The 20,562-nt window shown below is 46.8% G+C and overlaps 1 protein-coding gene across 5 annotated transcripts in view; it reads right to left on the reverse strand.

Annotated features, from left to right (window-relative positions):
* Positions 1–20,562, reverse strand: part of GSG1L (GSG1 like) — a 276,187-nt gene that overhangs the window by 173,681 nt on the left and 81,944 nt on the right. For all 5 annotated transcript variants that reach the window (NM_001323901.2, NM_001109763.2, NM_001323900.2 and 2 more), the window contains exon 2: positions 1,948–1,995. In NM_001323901.2, coding sequence (NP_001310830.1) covers positions 1,948–1,995 — 48 coding nt within the window. The remainder of the gene's footprint in view (positions 1–1,947; positions 1,996–20,562) is intronic.

Here is a 20,562-nt window from a genome sequence, read left to right on the forward strand (position 1 = left end):
CATGCATGCGTGCACACACATAGCAGCAGCCACTCATGCACATGCACACTCACCCTTACCCGGGACACACGCACACATGCATGTGCACATACACAGGCCCTGCTTTCTGGAAGCCAGATTTGGAGCAAAGTTGACCCAGGAGCTCCAAGGCCTTGGGAATTATGGGATGCACATCCCAGAGGACTGCACATCCCAGAGGGCTGCACATCCCAGAAGGCTGCAGACAGTGGAGAGGTGTGAAGCGCAGGCCTGGATTTCACCCAGCTCTGCCTCTCATGAGGTGTGAGACCTAAGTGACTTCATCTCTCTAAGCCTTGGTTTCTTCATCTGTCAGGTGGGAGTGAGAATGACAGCCCCTTCCTCAAGGGGTTGTGGGGAGGTTTCTCAGTTGATGCTTGCGACGTGCTTGGCACTGTATCCGGCACATAGTAACTGTTCAACAAATATCAGCCATGCAGTGGTCATATTATTGTGTTTCCCAGTGATCTCAATTTGGAAGCTGTGGCTTGAGCCGCCCAGCCAAATGTTTTGGAGATGGTCACATGTAGCAATTAAACAGAACACAGCCATGGGGACATCAAAGAAATGGAGGAGGCGGTCCTGACTGCCAAGAGGCTGCTGGGGGGTAGGGAGTCCTTGTCGCTTTCTGGGAACTGAGGGCCCGGTGGGTTCCCTGTCTCTTGCCCCTCAACTTCACCAGCTGCCACTTGACTGGAGCGCTCCAAAAAGACAGTGTCTGCAAAACAGAATGTCACCAGCTTCCAGGACACATGGTGCCCTTCTGCCTCAGTTTCCCCTCCCCTGACTCCCAAGCCCAGAGCCCTCTCTTAATCTCCAGGCTATCTGAAGAGACATGCATACCTGTTTCACTCTTGGCAGCCTATCTCCTGGGTGGCAGAGGGTAGGCAGGTGGGGAGGCAGCCACACTCCCCCGTGTCCCTGTGGCAGGCTCTCCTCCTGTGTCCATTCTCTTGTTCTTCCATAATAACAAAACTCCTGACTTTCAGCTAGGCACAGCATTGCCCAGGATAAAGACCACATTTCCCAGCCTCCCTTCTAGCTGGGTGTGACCATGTGACTAGTTCTGGTCAAGGAGATATATGCAGGTGTTGTGGGATAACTTCTGGGAACCTTAGAGTTTGCCCTTCCTGCATCCTGCTGCCTGGAATGCAGATGTAATAGCTGGTGCTCTGGCAGCCATCTTAGACCATGAAGAAAAACACAGTGGGACAACAGAGAGAGTGGCAGGGGCCAGGATCCTGAGGACTTTGTGGAGCAGAGCCACCTTAGATTGTCTACTTTCAAACTTTTATAAAGGAGATAAATTTCTCCATTGAAATTAGTTCCTTAGGGTCACTATTACTTGCAACTAAACCTAATCCTGACTGCTATCCCCTGACTCAAGCTGTGCCCTGCTCCTGATAATCCAGTCACTGCCTTGCACACCTCTGGACATCTCTGTGGGCTCAGAGCCTCTGCTGTCGGGCTCTGAACACCAGTGAGCCCTCTCTGGATGGTGGCATCCAATCAGACTGGCCCTCCCCACACCTGTGAGATGACAAAGGCCAGGCACCTGGCTTCCCTCCCCCAAGGTCAAATCCTACAGCTGGAGGCAAACCCCAACACCAGTCTTGCCTGAACCAAACGTCCACACCCCCATCATCCCTCCCACAGTCCCAGCATGCACTGGACAGAATGGAAGGGTGATGACCCTCAGGACTACTCTGTCAGACAGGGAGGGCAGACAGTCCCCATCCACCAGCCTCTCCCACTCCACTGAGAGCTCAAGAAACTCAGGGCTTTGCAACAGGGTGTCTGGCTCCCAGGGCCCTGTTGCCCAGGGATGCTGAAGAAGATGCTATCACAGGGCTTTGGGGAGCCACCAAGGTAGGAAAGATGTCCCCAGAGAGAGCAGAGCTGCCACAGCTCAGCTGGGGTCACACTCACCTTTCTCCGATGCCGGGGCCAGGTCAATGAAGCTGCGACATTTTTCACCTTTGAAAAGAAGAGAAGCGTTTTCAGAATGTGAGAGGACACGTGGGCTTCCGAGGTTTGCCTGCTCCCATCCCATGAGCCCTGGAGCAAGCCAGTGTCTCTGACCCAAGCCCAGTGACATCTTTCTCCAACCCTGGTTCCTAGAAGCCCAACATCCCAGGAGTGTGGATGGCGAAACTGCCAATTCTCCCACCTCCTGACCCCATCCATCCTGGCCCATCGCTTCCACCTCCACGATAGCAACCTTGTCCCTTTCCACAGCCTCCCCCCAGAATCCACGCTCCTCCTCACTGGCCTCCCCAGGCCTCCACTCTGGCCCCTCTCCAATTCATTCTCCACGCTGCAGCTGGAGGGATCATTTCAAAACACAGCTCTGATCACATCCAACACACGCACACACACAGCTTGCTCCTGTTTGAAACTCTTTGATGACTTCCCAAAGGAGAAAGTTCAAATTCCCATTTGTGGACCCAGAACAGGCCTTGACTGGCCTGTCCACCCACTGCCCTCTCCCTCTGCCCCCGTTCCTGGTACACCCCTGTGCAGCCTCCCACCATGGCTTTGCACATGCTGTTCCCCGCCTGGAACATGCTCCCGCTGTTGTAACTCTCACAGCACCTTGGATTTCTATGGGGCATGGCCACCATCCTGAGTCTGCCTTTGCATGTGTGAGTCTCAGGTGCAAGTTAGTGGCACTGAGATGATAAGTCACTGAAAGAGAGTGTACTGACCGCCAAGAACTGGAAGGGAGGATTTAAAAGAAAGAAAACAAAAGTGGTGTGCTACAGTGGATGGATTTTGAATGAATTGCTTTATACTTTTTTTAATGTTACATTGTTTCCTCAAAGGCTAGAGGGAGGGAAATTCAACATACAGATCATACTTTGGGAGGCCGAGGCGGGCGGATCATGAGGTCAAGAGATGGAGACCATCCTGGCAAACATGGTGAAACCCCATCTCTACTAAAAATACAAAAACTAGCTGGGCGTAGTGGCATGCACCTGTAGTCCCAGCTACTCGGGAGGCTGAGGCAGGAGAATTGCTTGAACCTGGGAGGCAGAGGTGAGCCAAGATCACACCACTGCACTCCAGCCTGGGCGACAGAGAGGGACTCTGTCTCAAAAAAAAAAAAAAAATGTGCATATCAGCATCCACAGCCACATTGAGGCATTGGTGGGCCTTCGGCCATTTTGCCTTGATGAGCCCCTTCCTAAATAAAAATTAATTAAATAATTAATTGTTGTATTTATCAATCGTGGATAGCACAATTGTATTTATCAATTGTGGATAGCAGCACTATCCAAGATTTGGAAGCATCCTAACCATCAACAGATGAATGGATAAAGAAAATGTGCTACATATACACAATGAAGTACTCTTCAGCCATAAAAAAGAATGAGATGCTGTCATTTGCAACCACATGGATGGAATCGGAAGTCATTATGTTAAGTGAAATAAGCCAGGCACAGAAAGACAAACTTTGCATGTTCTTACTTATTTGTGGGATCTAAAAAACAAATAAATTGAATTCATGGACATAGAGAGTAGAAGGATGGTTACCAGAGGCTGGGAAGGGTAGTAGGGGATTGGGCGGGGAGCAGTGGGGATGCTTAACAGGTACAAAAAATAGTTAGAAAGAATGAATAAGACCTACTATTTGCTAGCACAACAGGGTGACTGTAGTCAATAATAACTTAACTGTATATTTTTAAATGACAAAAAGAGTATAATTGAATTGTTTGCCTGTGTCAAAACATCTCATGTACCCCATAAATATATACACCTACTATGTACCCACAAAAATTAAATATTTTAATTTGTTTTATTTTATTTGAGACAAAGTCTCACTCTGTCGCCCAGGCTGGAGTACAGTGGTGCAATCTCGGCTCACTGCAACCTCCACCTCCTGGGTTGAAGCAATTCTCCTGCCTCAGCCTCCCGAGTAGCTGGAATTACAGGCACCCACCATCACGCCCAGCCAATTTTTGTATTTTTAGTAAAGATGGGATTTCTCCATGTTGTCCAGGCTGGTCTCGAACTCCTGACCTCAAGTGATCTGCCTCAGCCTCCCAAAATGCTGGGATTACAGGCATGAGCCACTGCACCCAGCCAAAAATTTTTAATTTAAATAAAATTTAATTTAATTAAATTTTTAAGTAATTTTAAAATTATGTTTTACAGTCACATTGGTATAGAGACTAATATACAATATTACTATTAAGTATTAAACATTTTCTTCACCTAAAAGTTTCTTTTTCTTCTTCTGAACTTTCTACTTCTTCCAGACCCTTTCTTACAAATAGAAGAAGCTCACTCCGGACTCTGCTTACACACACATTAATGTCTATTTCCCCCAGCAAGCTGCAAGCTCTGTGAGGACAGGGACCAAGTCTTCACTGCATCCCCAGCTAGTAAATGGCACCTCCATCCCCAGATGCTCAGGCCAAAACCCTGCTGCCATCTTTATCTCATTCGTGGCTCTAGCTTCCCAATGCGTCTAGCATCCAGCCACTTCTCGCCACCTCCGCTGGTCCAGCCACCATCAGTTCCCACCAGGATCACTGTAGTAGCCTCTGCACTGGTCTCTCTCTTTCTGCCCCATCCTCACAGTGACCAGAAGTATCCTGGTATAACCTAAAACAGATTATGTCCCTTCTCTGCTCAGAACCCTCCCAGCATTCCCAACTCACCCCAAGTCAGAGCCTAAGTCCTCGCTGTGGCCTGCAAGACCCTCTGTGATCTGTCTCTCCATCACCTCCCTGACCTCTTTCCCTCCTGTCTTCCCCCTTGCTCACTCCACTCCTGTCATTTTGGTCTCCTTGCCAATCTTTAAACGTGCCGGGCATTCTCCTGCCTCAGGGCCTTCGCACTGGCTGCCTCTGCTGCCTGCAGCACTGTTCACTCGCATACCTGAGTAGTTTACTCCTCCTCTCCCTTGTCATTTTTCTCAAATGTTATCTTCCCAAGGAGGCCTTTCCATTTAATCTATCTAAAATTCCAAATGTCCCTCCCCTGACACTCTCCATCTTCCTTCTGGATGGATTCCTAACAGCTACAACAGAACCTGGTGTGTACAGTGACTGCTTAATAAATATTTTCCCACCAGCCTGAGCAAGAAAGCGAGACCCCATTTCTACAAAAAAATTTAAAAATTAGCCAGCTGTGGTGGCACGGGGCTGTAGTCCCAGCTACTGGGGAGGCTGAGGCAGGAGTATCACTTCAGCCCAGGATGTTGAGGCTGCAGTAAGCTGTACTCCAGCCTGGGCAACAGAGCAAGACCCCATCTAGGAAAAAGGAAACAAACAAACAATATTGAAGGAATATATGAACAAATGAGCAAGAGAATGAATACACGAGCAAATGAATGAATAAATGAATGAATGCCACTGAAACCTTATGTCTACAAGAAGCTTCCCCTCTTCAGTCTTTCCTCCCAGGCCTCCCTGATGCCACGGACACAGACCTGGCCACCAAGGATGCAGCACTGAGCAAATCATGGCCCAACTTCTAGACCTTTCTAACAAAGAGAGGGGGCGCACGCTGGACCTATGCTCACAAACACATTTTGTTTGACCCACACGGGATCATAAAAATAGGTAAATTGCTACCTACAAATTCAGATTTGTAATTTTCTCTTAAAGAATCAGAAGATCCAGCTGTGCTGAGCCCACAATCCCACACAGCAACAATCACATGGGGCCAGGCAGCTGTGCCTCCTTTAGATAAGGCACCTGAAAGCTCTCTGGTTTGCCACAGTCCCCACCGCCCACTACTGCTCTGCCCCCAGCTTCACCTAAACCACTGAGATGGCCCCTGCGACACTAGACTGGATAAACTCTAGGGTGAGTTTGCAACCCCTGGCTTCAGGATGTTACTGCTGGTCCCAACAAAGAGACAGATTGGGTCAAAAGGGACCAATGTGGGTAGAAGAGTCAAAACGATCTAGAAGCTTTCGGCATTCTCAACTAATTTGTCTGCTTAGAGCTTCCTAAGTTCTCTGATAAGGTCTCTTGAAGCCCCTTTGGCCTCCTGAACCTCCTGCCAGCCCCATATCAATGCAAAGGCAGAGATGGAGGCAGCGGTGGGAGATGAGTCTGAGAAGGAAGGAAGGGGTCAGATCACAAAGGGTCTTAAATGTCAAGCCAAGGAGGTGCTTCCTCTCTTATTTATGTCACTCCTTCCAAAGAATCACACGGCCACAGATGGGTGAACCCTGCTCTGTGGTTCCAGCATTCTGGCTTCCCCTGCCCCCGCCTTGTGCTCCGTACTGAGATGCAGGACTCACACCTTCCATTACAGACAAAGACGATAAGGCCCAGGGCAGCTGAGGGACCATCCTGGGCCACACAGCACATTAGAGGTGCTGATATTTTAGCCCACTGAAAGAGATGTTTGCTGACAGCCAAGAACTAGAAGGAAGGATTAAAATTAAAAAGTGTTGGTCAGGCACGGTGGCTCATGCCTATAATCTCAGCACTTTCGGAGGATCACTTGAGCCCAGGAGTTCGAGACCAGCCTGGCCAACACGGAGAAACCCCATCTCTGATAAAAATACAAAAATTCGCTGGGTGTGTTGGCATATGCCTGTAATCCCAGCTACTTGGGAGGCTGAGGCAGGAGAATCGCTTGAATATGGTAGGTGGAGGTTGCAGTGAGCAGAGATCGCACCACTGCAGTCCAACCTAGGTGACAGGGTGAGACTCCATCTCAAAAAAATATAATATAATATAATATAAAGTGTTGTGCTGGAGTGGATGGATTTTGAGTGAATTGTTTTAAACTTTCTGTACTGTTATATTGCTGGAATGGAGGAGATGTAATGGCCAAATTCAGACCAACACCCGAGGCCACATTAAAATGTTGGTGGGCCTTGCACATTTTTGCCTATTAGGGGCCCTTCTTAAACTTCAAAACATAATAATAAGAATTCTATTTTACAACCACATTGGCAAAAAGATGAATATATTAAGTATTAAGCATTTTTTCACCTAAAAGTTTATATCTTCTTCTGATTTTAAAATAAATTAATTTTTTTCTTTTTTTGTTTATTTGTTTTTATTTTTAGAGATAAGGTCTTGCCCTGTTGCCCAGGCTGGAGTGCAATGGCTCAATCATAGCTCACTGCAGCCTTGAACTCCTGGGTTCAAGTGATCCTCCTGCCTCAGCCTCCTGAGTAGCTGAGACCACAGGCACATACCACCACATCTGGCTAGTTTTTTTTATTTTTTGTAGAGATGGGATCTCACTCTGTCACCCAGGCTGGTCTCAAACTCCTGAGCTCACGCAATTCTCCTGCATCAACCTCCCAAAGTGCTGGGATTAGAAGCGTGATCTACCACGCCCGGCCCTAAAACATTTTCATGGGCCCGTAGAATTTTCATGGCCCTAAAACATTTTCACAGGCCCAAGACCTTTATAGAAGTATTCTGGGCCCTCCGCTCTGTGCCTCCTGAGCCTAAGAAAGATGCCCGCCCTCCTGCAGCAGGCTCCCAGCTCTCACCACCAACTGGGCACCTCAATAATATTTAAGATCTATGTGCTAGGCATTTTCCCTTTTCTTTAACAATTTTATTGAGATATAATTCCCATGCTATACAATTCATACATTTAAAGTATGCAATTTGGCTGGGCATGGCTGCTCACACCTGTAATCCCAACATTTTGGGAGGCCAAGGCAGGCGGATCACTTGAGATCAGGAGTTCGAGACAAGCCTGGCCAACATGGTGAAATCCCTTCTCTACTAAAAATACAAAAATTAGCTGGGCATAGTGGCACCTGCCTGTAATCCCAGCTACTCAGGAGGCTGAGGCAGGAGGACCACTTGAACCCAGGAGGCGGAGGTTGCAATGAGCTGAGATCGCCCCACTGCACTTCAGCCTGGGCGACAGAGTGAGACTCAGTCTCAAAATAAATAAATAATATAAATAAATAAATAAAATAAAGTGTACAATTCAATGGTTTTTAGTATACTGTTAGCATATTCACCAGGCTGTGTGACCATCACCACAATCAATTTTAAAACGTTTTCATCACACTGAAAAGAAAGCTGTACCTATTAGCAGTCACTCATTTCCTGCAACCCTTCCAGCCCTAGGAAAGAGCTCATCTATTTTCTGTCTCTATAGATTCACCTAGTCTGGTCATTTCATGTAAATGGAATCTTACAATATTGTATGATTCATATAGATGGAATTATAGAATACACTCAATATGATCAGACAAGACATGAAATGCCATTTCATATAAATGGAATTATATAATCATACAATACAATCATATAATAATGTTTTGTGACTACCTTCTTTCACTTAGAATAATGTGTTTAAGGACCAACCATCTTTGTAGCCTATGTTATTTATATCACAGAATAATATTACATGATGTGGATATACCACCTTTTATTTATCCATTCATCAGATAATAGATACTTGAATTTGTTTCCACATTTTGGTTATTTATGAACGTTCATGTACAAGTTTTTGTGTGGACAAGTTTTTGTTTCTCTTGGGTATATACCCAGGAATAGAATTGCTGAGTCATATGTAACTCTATATTTAACATTTTGAGAAATTGCGACACTTTTTTCCAAAGCAGATGCATCATTCTATGTTCCCATCAGCAACATATGAGGATTCCAATTTCTCCATGTCTTCAGCAACACTTGCTATTGTTCGTCTTTTTTTATTATAAGCATCCTTGCCAGTGCCATGCGGTATCTCACTGTGGTTTTAATTTGCATTTTCTTAATGACTAATGATGTTGAGCATCTTTTCATGGGCTTATTGCCCATTTCTATATCTTCTTTGGAGAAATATCTTCTCAGACCCTTTGCCCACTTTTTAATTGTGTCATTTGTCCTTTTATTATGGGTGATTAGTTCTTTATATATTCTGCATACAAGTCCCTTATCAGTTATCTGATTTGTAAATATTTTCTCTCATTGTGTGGCTTGTCTTTCCACTTTCTTGATGACATCCTTTGAAGCAGAAAAGTTTTTAATTTTAATGATGCCCAATTTGTCTATTTTTCTTTTGTTGCTTGTGCTTTTGTTGTCATATCTTCTTTGTTATTAATTTAAAAATAGAGGCTGGGTATGGTGGCTCACGCCTGTAATCCCAACACTTTGGGAGGCCGAGGCAGGTGGATCACTTAAGGTCAGGAGTTCAAGACAAGCCTGGCCAACATGGTGAAATCCCATCTCTACTAAAAATACAAAAAGTAGCCAGGCATGGTGGTGCACCCCTGTAATCCCAGCTACTTGGGAGGCTGAGGCAGGAGAATCGCTTGAACCCAGGAGGCAGAGGTTGCAGTGAGCCAAGACCACGCCATTGCACTCCAGCCTGGGCAACAGAGTGAGACTCCATCTAAAAAAAGAAAAATAGAGATGGGGTCTCACTATGTTGCCCAGGCTAGTCTTGAACTCTTGGGCTCAAGTGATCCTCCTGCCTCAGCCTCCCAAAGTGCTGGGATTACAGGCATAAGCCACTACACCTAGACTAGTGTTATACCTAAGAAGGGTGTGCCTAGCCCAAGATCATGAAGAGTTACTCCTATTCTTTCCCCTAAGACTTTTGTAATTTTAACTCTTCTATTTATGTCTCTTATCCATTTAGAGATGATTTATGTGTATGGTGTATAAAAGGGGTCCAGCTTTATTCTTTTGCATGTGGATATCCGGTTGTCTCAGAAGCATTTGTTGAAAAACTATTCTTTCTCCACTGAATTGTCTTGGCACACTTGCCAAAAATTAATTGACTATAAGTAAAAGCGTTTATTTTATACTCTCAGTTCTATTCCATTAATTTATATGTCTCTCCTTATACTACACTATCTTGATTACTGTAGCTTTGAAGTTTTGAAATTGGAAAATGTGGGTTCTTCAACTTTGGCCTTCATTTTAAAGATCATTTTGTCTATTCTGGGTCTCTTGCATTTTCATATGAATTTTAGGATCAATGTGTGAATTTCTTTAAAAAAGCAAGTTGGAATTTTGAAAGGGATTGCACTGAATCTGTAATGGGACCAATTTGGGAAGTATTGCCGTCTTAAAATATTAAAACTTCAAATCCATGAACATGGGATGTTTTTCCATTTACTTAGATCTATTCAAATTTCTTTTAACAATGTTTTGTAGTTTTCAGAATATAGGTTTCATGCTTATTTTGTTAAATTTATTCCTAAGTATTTTATAATTTTTGATGCTATTATGAATGGAATTGTTTTCTAAATTTCATTTTGGATTGTTCATTGCCAGTGTATAGAAATATAATTAAATTTTGTATATTGATCTTGTAAACTGCAATCTTGCTGAACTCATTTATTAGTTCTAACAGTTTTAGTGGATTCTTAGAACTTGCTATATACAGACTCATATCATCTGCAAATAGAGATAGTTTTACTTCTTCATTTCCAATCTTGATCTCTTTTATTTCTTTTTCTTGCCTAATTGCTTTGGCTAAAATGTCCAATATAATATTAAATAGAAGTGGTAAGAGTGGACATCCTCATCTTGTTCCTGATCTTGGAGGGGATGCATTCATTTTTGTACCATAAAATTTGTTGTTAGCTGTGGGGTTTTTTTAATATATGCCCTCTGTCAGGTTGGGGAAGTTCCCTTCTATTCCTACTTTGTTGAGCAGTTTTATCATGAAAGGATATTTGCCGTCTCTTTAGTCCCACAACAAACTTCAATGAGAATCTCCACTTTCAAGACAAGCAAAGTGAGGGTCTGAACTTTCGGTGACTTGCCTAAGACCACACAGCCAGTAAGAAATGGAGCAAGACTCAACCCAGGTCTGCAGACTCCACACCACATCCTAAAATCTTCCCAGCTCTCTGCTCCCATTGCTATGTCAGAATTTCCTACCAGAACCAGATGTTCCCACCATGGACAGCTGGGGGTGTCCTGAAAGAAATCTCCTAGGAATATACCTCCATAGAGACAGGGAAAATCCAAGAGGGGCCAAAATAAATGGCTCTCACACTTCCATTTCTGCTACATGGACAAGGCTAAACAGAAGATGTTTAAGCAGAGGTGATCAAACTTAGCCCACACTGCCCAGGCAGGTCAACGCTGAGGTTTAAGGAAAAGTCATAGAGATGACATGAGGAACACAGGATACTTCAATGGCCAGAAGTCTAACAGCTGAAATTCAAACACAGAAGAGATGTTTTTCCTCCAAATCCTTAGTCTCTGTGATAAAGATTATCTAAGGATTAATGAGCTAGGTATTAAATGGCACCATATTGGCTTGCCGCTTTTAGAAGTGACCCATAAAATATCAAAATCAATGGCAATTAAGTTTATATGTTTAGTTAAGGGATTTATTTTGGGCATTAAACCTTAAGACAGGTGCACTTGTCTCTCAATCACACTTCAGACTGGGGCTTGACAATTAGATCACAGAGCTGTGGCATGTTACTGCCACCTGATGGCAGCATACCTTTGGTGAACCATGGAACTTGAAAGCTGAGAAGAATCCTATTAGGTCAATCAATTTACGTGATTCTTAACCCCGGAAATGTGAATCCCAGGCCCCACCCACAACGATTCTGATTTCATTGGTCAGGGTGGAGCCCATATATCTTAGCGTTTTAAAAGCTCCCAGGTGATTCCAATGTACACTCAGGGTGAGAATCACAGCCTATTAAAAATATCCTTCCAACATTAGAAAAACAACAGAGAGTCATTTTAGTGATGGCTCATGTGATGGCACCGGCCGATCCTTCAGGGAAGGGCATTTATGGGGCAGAATAGTTCAGTGGTCAGGGGTCTGACTTCTGGAATCAGCAGAGCTGAGTGCAAATGCTGGCTCTGTCACTTCCTGCCATGTGAGTCCTCCCATCTTTCTGTGCCTTTATTTCCTTGTTGGCGAAATGGGCACAGCACCTGTAGGGGTCTTGTGAAGACTCAACATGGGCAAAGAGCTTAGATGCAATGCCTGGAAAAAAGTAAGTGCTTAGGGCCAGGTGCGGTGGCTCATGCCTGTAATCCCAGCACTTTGGGAAGCTGAGGCAGGCAGATCACCTGAGGTCAGGATTTCAAGACCAGCCTGTCCAGCATGGTGAAACCCCGTCTCTACTGAAAATACAAAAATTACCCGGGCGTGGTTGTGCACACCTGTAATCCCAGCTACTCAGGAGGCAGGAGAATCACTTGAACCCCGGAGGTGGAGGTTGCAGTGAGCTGAGATTTTGACACTGCACTCCAGCCTGGGCAATAAAGACCCCATCACAAAAAAAAAAAAAAAAAAAAAAAAAAAAAGAGTGTGTGCTTAGGAGATGGCTTTCGTTGTCATCACTGTCACCTACATGCGGGTCAGAGGAAACATGAGACACGGTCTTCTGCAGCCTAATTGGGGGAAACAAGAGTGACATGCAGGTACCATCACAGACTAGCACATGGCCAGGGGGTCACGCACTGGTTCAGTGCAGGGATTCTAGAGCCAGGCCTGCCTGGGTGCAGCCTGGCTCCATCACTCACTGCACGTGTAACATCAATATGAACCTTTTGGTGCCTCAGTTTCCCTACCTATAAAAACATGAAGATCACCAACGCTGGTGTTTCTACAGTGCATATTATAGGGTAGGTCGGCAGGGCTTGTTGTCAACCACCAGGGGGTACAGCTGGGACAACTCAGTGGGCGGCAGTCCAGGTTGCCTGAGGCTGCTGCAGACATGCTCTGGGCTCCTTCGTGGGCCCCAGCCTGGGTCCTGGCCCTGCGCCTTCCATTGTCTCCTCCATGCCCATCAATGTTGCCTGGGAACGGCCTCATTTTTGCCCCTTGAAGATGCCCTTTCTCCCATTACCCCCTCCCCATCTGATTCCCTTTGAGCTGCTAAGATAGCAAAGGTGAATGGAGCTGGCATCTCCTGCCCTAGGAAGGAGACTCCTTAAAGGCCCCTTGTATTCCCAGAGGCCCACTGGAGGGTGATGTCTTCCTGCTTCAGGGAGGGGACAGCAGAGGGAATTCATGCAGAAAGAAAGGGGGGCCATCAGATTCCAAGAGGAGAAGATGTTTGGGGATCCACAGCACCCTAAAAGATGTCAGGGCCTTCAAAGAAAAACGTCACGGGAAAGCTGGACTTTGGGGTCATAGGTTATTAGCTCAGCCAAAATCTTGCACCCAGTGAGGGTCCCATGGTGCCCATGAGGCCAGAAAACCACCAGCTGTGGGGAGAGGAAGGGTAGGGGAAGACCAGAGCGTTCTCTCAAATGGCCTGAAAACTTCATACGACCCAGGGGCTGAAAGGAAATCTCAAAAACTGGAGATTGAATTTCTTGCTATTCTGGGGAGTGGAAGCTCAGAGTTCTATCCTACTGGGTCTACAGGAATAAATGACTAGGGCATTCCTTGGCTAGAAGAAGTGAGAGTGCCTGTTCATACCCACCATAGCCTTAAAGAGAAATGCCATGTGTGACTGCCCTCACCATCACACACCATTGCATCTTGCTTGCAGGCCAGGGGCACACAGACAGGACTTAAATCTCAGCCTCAACTCAAGGTCACCAACTCAAGCCTTCTCAATGACCAGCAATGACTGAGGCGAGCCTGTGGGGACTGGGTGACCGTGAGAGGGTGTGCCCTGTCTAGATGGGGATGAACTGACATGCTGGTCATCTGGACAGTCAGGGTCTCTGCAGGAAACAGATGGTACCTCCGAGGGGCTCACTGAAGACCGACGAGTGAAGAAATTATGTATAGGGGTGTGGACAGGGTTGAGGGGCTGGTAACCAAGGGAAACCCAGGTCTGAAGGGGCAGGGGAGGGAAAGGAGCCTGGAAGAGGTGAAGCCATAGAGGAGGAGCTGCCATCAGGAGCTGAATTCACACTTAACAAGCCTCAGAATCAGAACTTAAGCATCTCTGGGCCGGGACTTGAGAATCGGTCTTTCCAACATGTTCCCAGAGGATGCTGATGCTGCCGGCCTGGGAACCACACTTTGAGAGCCACTCCTTAGAGAAATGTAGTCACTGTCAAAACCGCAACAGGGAGAGAACAAGATGAGCCAGAAAGGAATGCCCTGATCTTTCTCTCCTTCTGCCCTCTTGATTCCCTGTAGGTGCCTCCTGTTGGCCAAAACCAATGGGCACAGAGTCCAGGCAGTTCCCAGGGCACCGAGAAGGGCAGGGAATGGACATGGAGGGGTGGATGGAGAACAGCTGGCACACCGCCCTACTTAAGGTGGTCCCCACCCCTCCTCACCGCATCATGCTTATTCCTGCACCTGCGTTGCTTTTCTTCCATAGTGAGACCACCATCACGCTCTGAAATTGTCCTGTGTATGGATTTGTCAACTTGTTTAGTACACGTGTCCTCTACAGGACGTGCAGGGGACTTTTCCTCTGCTTTCGGATCTATTTACGTGTAGTCCTGTGTGCACTGTGGGCTTAACCACTTTCTAGACTAGGCTGGAGGCTGCGTACCCTGAAATCCTGAGAATTCATATTCTATCTCTCTATCTTAGGCATCAAAATCACAACATCAAGTAGTGATATCTGAAGGTGTCTGAATTAATCTCAATCCCCAAAAGTACACTTCTCTTCTCTTAAGTTCCCAATGTCAACGTTTTATATTCACACAGTTGTATCCCATCAACATTTATTGAGCACCTACTATGTGCCAGTCCTGGTTTTAGGTGCTGGAGACACAGCAGCGAACCACACAGACAAAATCCCTGCCCTCACGGAACTTCCATTCTCATGTTAAAGTGTACATATCAGTAATTCTTTGGAATCCTCTCTCCAAAAAATGATGTTTCCTGGCTCTTCTAAATAACACCCAGACAGGCCAGGCGTGGTGGCTCACGCCTGTAATCTCAGCACTTTTGGAGGCTGAGGTGGGCAGATCACCTGAGGTCAGGCGTTCGAGACCAGCCTGGCCAATGTGGTGAAACCCTGTCTCTACATAAAATACAAAAATTAGCCAGGCCCAGTGGTGCACGCCTGTAATCCCGGCTACTCAGGAGGCTGAGGCAGGAGAATCGCTTGAACCCAGGAGGTGGAGGTTGCAGTGAGCCAAGATTGAGCCATTGCACTCCAGCCTGGGCAATAAGAGCAAAACTCCATCTCAATAATAATAATAATAATGCCCAGACAATGTCTCTGCAACACGGAGGCCACATGTTTTCAGCAACAAATAGAAACTTCGTGACCATGTATGTCTTGTTCGCTGTTGTGTCCTCAAAGCCTGGAGCAGTGATCAGTGCTGCAGACATGATTGTGGAATGAAGCAATTAATAGTACTTCATAAATCGTCTTTCTCAAGAATCTCACAAGAGCGGGGACCTACTCTGCAGAATCCAGAATGTATGGCCACAGTGAGACAGAAATTGAATCTTGGGAGCAATCTAAGACAGAAGAGACAAACAGAAAGGGATATCTACACTAGCCAAGAAAGAGCTGAGGGCTCCAACAGCAGACATTGGGCAGCCACATTGAGCCTTACACCTGCCACGAGGCAGCAGACTTAAGATCGGGAGGTCACCTTAGCCATCACGTCTGCATTCTCAGCCTTTTCCCATGGCTGGGTCTCTGTTCTTGCTACTGCCTTAATCTCAACATCTCTCTCTCTGTTTCTCTAAGTCTGAACCATCCCCAGCCTTCAAGATCCAGCTCAAATGTCCACCCCACTCTCCCGTCATGAAGCCTGTCTTGTTCACCAACCACTCGCTCCATCCAGAAGCAACATTTCTCCACTCTAAATTTCCCAAGGGTTTTATTGCAATATCACTCATCGTATTGTCACGTGCTACCCTGAGCGTGGCTTGGCCCCTCTGCTAAGCCCCTTTGGAAGGCAGATCCCACCCCAGGCTCGAGTTTGTCATGTTGCCTTAGAGCCAGGATCCCACAACCCGGAAGAGAGTCCAGAACAAGCCCCACGCAAAGGACTTGGCGTTCATCACAGCAATGGCACGAAGTCTGAATCCATTCCCATTTTACAGATGAGAAAACTAAGGCTCACAGAGGCAGAGTGACCTACCCAAGGTGACACAGCCACTATGTGGCAGAATCAGGATCTGGACTTAAGTCCTTATCTGTCCAAGGCTCTGTTATCATGCAGGGGACTGACTTGGTCAGAAACGGAACAAGACAGGACAGGCGCGGTAGCTCATTCGTGTAATCCCAGCACTTTGGGAGGCCAAGGCAGGTGGATCACTTGAGGTCAGGAGTTTGAGACCAACATGGTCAAACCCTGTCTCTACTAAAAATACAAAAAATAGCTGGGCGTGGCAGTGTGCACCTGTAGTCGAGGCTGAGGCACAAGAATCGCTGAAACCTGGGAGGCGGAGGTTGCAGTGAGCCAAGATCGTGCCACTGCACTCCAGCCTGGGCTACGGAGTGACACCCTGCCTCAAAAAAAAAAAAAAAAAAAAAAAAAAAGGGCAAGGACACATTCCAGAAGGCATTCTATGGCCAGACCAGGTATCTCTAAAATCTTTTTTTAAACATTTTATTTATTATGGGAAATTTCCATCTTTTGCAAAAGTAGAGAGACTAGTACAAAAAGCCCCATGTCCCCATCACCAGCTTCAATACCTGTCAACTCAAGGCCAGTCTTGTCACCTCTACACCCCACTGTCCCCACCACCATGAGATTATTTTGAAACAAATTCCAGAATTGGACCTAGATATGTTTTTCAGGGGTGTGTCCACCGTTCAGAAAAGACAAATGGAAGGTCATTTCTTCCTAGACCTTGTGGCATCACCTTATGGGGCAGCTGGATTTTGCAGCATGAGAATCAAACAGAAAATTCAGGAGGCCCTGACCTCCCCTCACCGCTAGCCCCTCTGAGTTACTGTCTCCAGGGGCTCTGGCTGAGCGAGGATGGATGGGGGCATCACTCAGAAATTGCCCTCAGTGCAGCAGCTTGAGCTTGTCAGCAGGCACATCGAGACTGCCATGAAACGGAGAGCCTGGCACGGGCCCTCAGCAGAAATGAGTCTTCCAGGAATCCACCACAGATAGAACTGGCCGGGTCACAGCTGCCTCACTCTGGCTCACCACTCAGGCCTGATTCCAGGAATTCCACCCCCAGATCTCCTCCTGTAGGTCTGGTTTAATTGAGAAAGAAGCTCCTGTGTGAAGGCAGCAAGGAGAGCCATGGGGTGCACCAGGGTCACCAGGAAGCCGGACAGGGTGTGCTCCCTGGTTAAAAGCTGGGCTCTGGCTTCCCGCAGACCTGAATTCAAATCCCCACTGTGCCAGCTGGGCGCAGTGGCTCACGCCTGTAATCCCAGCACTTTGGGAAGCCAAGGTGGGCGGATCACGAGGTCAGGAGTTCGAGACCAGCCTGGCCAACATAGCAAAACCCCATCTCCACTAAAAATACAAAAATTAGCCAGGCGTGGTGGCACACACCTGTAATCCCAGCTACTCAGGAAGCTGAGGCAGAAGAATTGCTTGAACCTGGGAGGCGGAGGTTGCAGTGAGCAGAGATCTCGCCACTGCACTCCAGCCTGGGTGACAGAGCAAGACTCCATCTCAAAAAAAAAAAAAAAAAATCAAATCCCCACTGTGCCACCTGCTAGCTGTGGGACTGGGAGTAAATAATGGTTTTTTTTTTTAAATATATATATTTGTTTGGTTGGGTTCTTTTTTGTAGTTGTTTGCTATTAAGGTTGACCATTCCAATCTTCTGGGGTTGCTGGGAAGGCTAAATAAGGTCATTGGCATAAAACAAGACATCTTCAGTTAGGATTTAATTCAGACAACATCTGCAAAGGAATCAGCTCCATGTTTTGACACCCACACCCTCAATGTCATTCATCACAGGTCTGGAGGCGCCAGCACAAGGAGGTGTCTAGGCTCAGAAGCCACAGGACGTGAGTTCAAATCCATCCTCTGCCTCCTCATAGCCAAGTGATCTCAGGGAGTGGCTTCACCTCTCTAAGCCCTTTCCTTGCTTGCCAGACGGAAATCAGAGCGCCTTCCATCCAGGCTTGCAAAAAGGATTCAAACAAGCCAGGCATGGTGGCTCATGCTTGTAGTCCCAGCTACTACAGAGGCTGAGACAGGAGACTCACTTGAGCCCAGACTAGACAACATAGCAAGAATCCATTTTTAAAAAAGAAAAAAAGGTCGGACATGATAGCTCACGCCTGTAATCCCAGCACTTTGGAAGGCCGAGACGGGTGGATCACCTGAGGTCAGGAGTTTGAGACCAGCCTGGCCAACATAATGAAACCCCATCTCTACTAAAAATACAAAAATTAGCCTGGCGTGGTGGCAAGTGCCTGTAGTCCCAGCTACTCGGGAGGCTGAGGCAGGAGAATCGCTTGAACCTGGGAGGTGGAGGTTGCACTGAGCCACCAAGATCATGCCCTTGCACTCCAGCCTGGGCGACAGAGTGAGAATCCATCAAAAAAAAAAAAAAAGAAAGAAGGAAGGAAGGAAGAAAGAAAGGAAGGAAGAAAGGGAGATGGGCAGGAGGGAGGGGAAAGAAAGAAAGAAAGAAAGAGAGAGAGAGAGAGAGAAAGAAAGAAGGAAGGAAGGAAGGAAGGAAGGAAGGAAGGAAGGAAGGAAAGAAAAAGAAAGAAAGAAAGGAAAGAAAGAAAGAAAGAAGGAAAGAAAGAAAGAAAAAGAAAGAAAGGAAAGAAAGAAAGAAAGAAAAGAAAGAAAGAGAGAGAGAGAGAGAAAGGAAGGAAGGAAAAGAGAAAGAAAGAAAGGAAAGAAAGAAACGAAGGAAGGAAGGAAAAGAGAGAGAGAATTGAAATGGGAGAAAGTGTGTGAAAATGGCTGCCCTGTGCTTGGCTCCATAAATAAGAGCTTTTTAAAAATTCTTTCCCTGGATCCTAAGTTAGAGACACATGTCACTCCTCCCAAGGAGAGCCCGGGCGTCTTCCCAAGCCAGAAGCAGGAGGCTGTAATTCTGCAACTTCAGCCTGAGCAGGTGGGGGGAACCTGGCAGGGCCACAGGCAAAATCAAGGGGGGTGGCCAGAGGCAGATGCCCAATGCTGGCAGAAGGTGTGCAGAGCATTGAGGGTCTGCCAAGTTACCCTTGGCATGGACATTGGGCGCCCAGGTCCTGGTTGGCAGCAGAGATGTGGGCAACGAGACAGGGGGAAGGGGTCACTAAGGAGCCCAGCATCCTTGGCTGAATCCCCAGATCCTGGGTCTGAAGATCGTGACTTAATTCCATACCCCACCAGATGGTGTTGCTGAGGCTTCCATGGAGTCAGGAGGTGGGGAGAGGCGGGGAAGGCAGGGTCAACAGAGAGAGGCAGTAGCAACAGTTTCACAAAGTCAACCAGCCAATAACACGTGCTGACATGCTTTATGCGCCTACCAACGTGTGTTCTAAGTGCTTTACATGCATCAATTGCTAATCTGCACGACAGCCTATGAGGCAGCTCCTATGACCACACCCATTTTACAGATGAAGAAACTGAGGCTGGCTGGGCACGGTGGCTCAGGCCTGTAATCTCAGCACTCTGGGAGGCTGAGGTGAGCAGATCATTTGAGCCCAGCAGTTCGAGACCAGCCTGGCCAACATGGTGAAACCCTGACTCTACTAAAAATACAAAATTAGCCAGGCACGATGGCACATGCCTGTAATTCCAGCTACTCTGGAGGCTGAGGCAGAAGAACCGCTTGAACCTGGGAGGCAGAGGTTGCAGTGAGCTGAGATCACGCACTGCACTCTAGCCTGGGCAATAGAGTGAGATGTCGTCTCAAAAACCAAAAACCAAAAAACAAAAAAAAAAAAAAAAGAAAGAAAGAAAAAAAGAAACTGAGGCAGAGGGAGATTGAGTGAATCACTTGTCTAACTTTACACAGCTAGTGGTGGAGCCAGGATTCCAATCAAGACAGCTTGGCACAGAGCCTTTGATTTGGTCATTCCTCTGTACTACATCTTAGCAGAGCAGGCAGGTCCTAGTAAAATTCATTCCTCCTAAGGAAAGTCCCACACACCCTCCAGAGACCCCACACGTGGCAGGAGAACCTAGCAGCCTTCCAGACGTGCCCAGCGAAGTGGACTCAAATCTGGCTGGTTCAAAGTTTGACCCTGGTTCCGAGACCCAGATTCCACAAGCAGCAAAGCTTTTTGGCAGGTGCATGGTAAATTTTCTTCATAGTTGAGTGCTTTCAACTTGCTGGGCGGGCAGAGAAGAATCAGTCCTGGTCCCCAGCAAATGAGGCCAATGGGGAATGATTTTAACTGGTTGGCAAGGGCAAGAGTTCATACACCTTTGCTGGCCAGATTCAAGGAATTCAGCTGGGGGAAAAAAATGCCAACAGATCTTGTGTGAAGCTTCTCCTCTCACTATCTGGGCTGGCGGCAGAGCCTTGGCAAGCACTTCCTTGGATTCTCCGGAGGCCTCTGCCAGTTCAACTGACGGGGCAGCAGATGGCACACACTTCTCTGCTGATGATATTTTGATTTATTTATCTCTTACAGATGGTACCATGCCTTGATTTCTGGCAGGAGTCCAAAATGCAGGTCAACTTTCTGGGGATAATCGTTTCTACAAATGGATGAAATACTGAAGACTAAAACCCCGCTTGGCATCATGACTGCTACACCGTGGCCTCCAGACATACGTTGCTTGGGCATTTGGGGCA

Source organism: Homo sapiens, chromosome 16 (assembly GCF_000001405.40).
Source record: "Homo sapiens chromosome 16, GRCh38.p14 Primary Assembly".
NCBI classification, from domain to species: domain Eukaryota; kingdom Metazoa; phylum Chordata; class Mammalia; order Primates; family Hominidae; genus Homo; species Homo sapiens.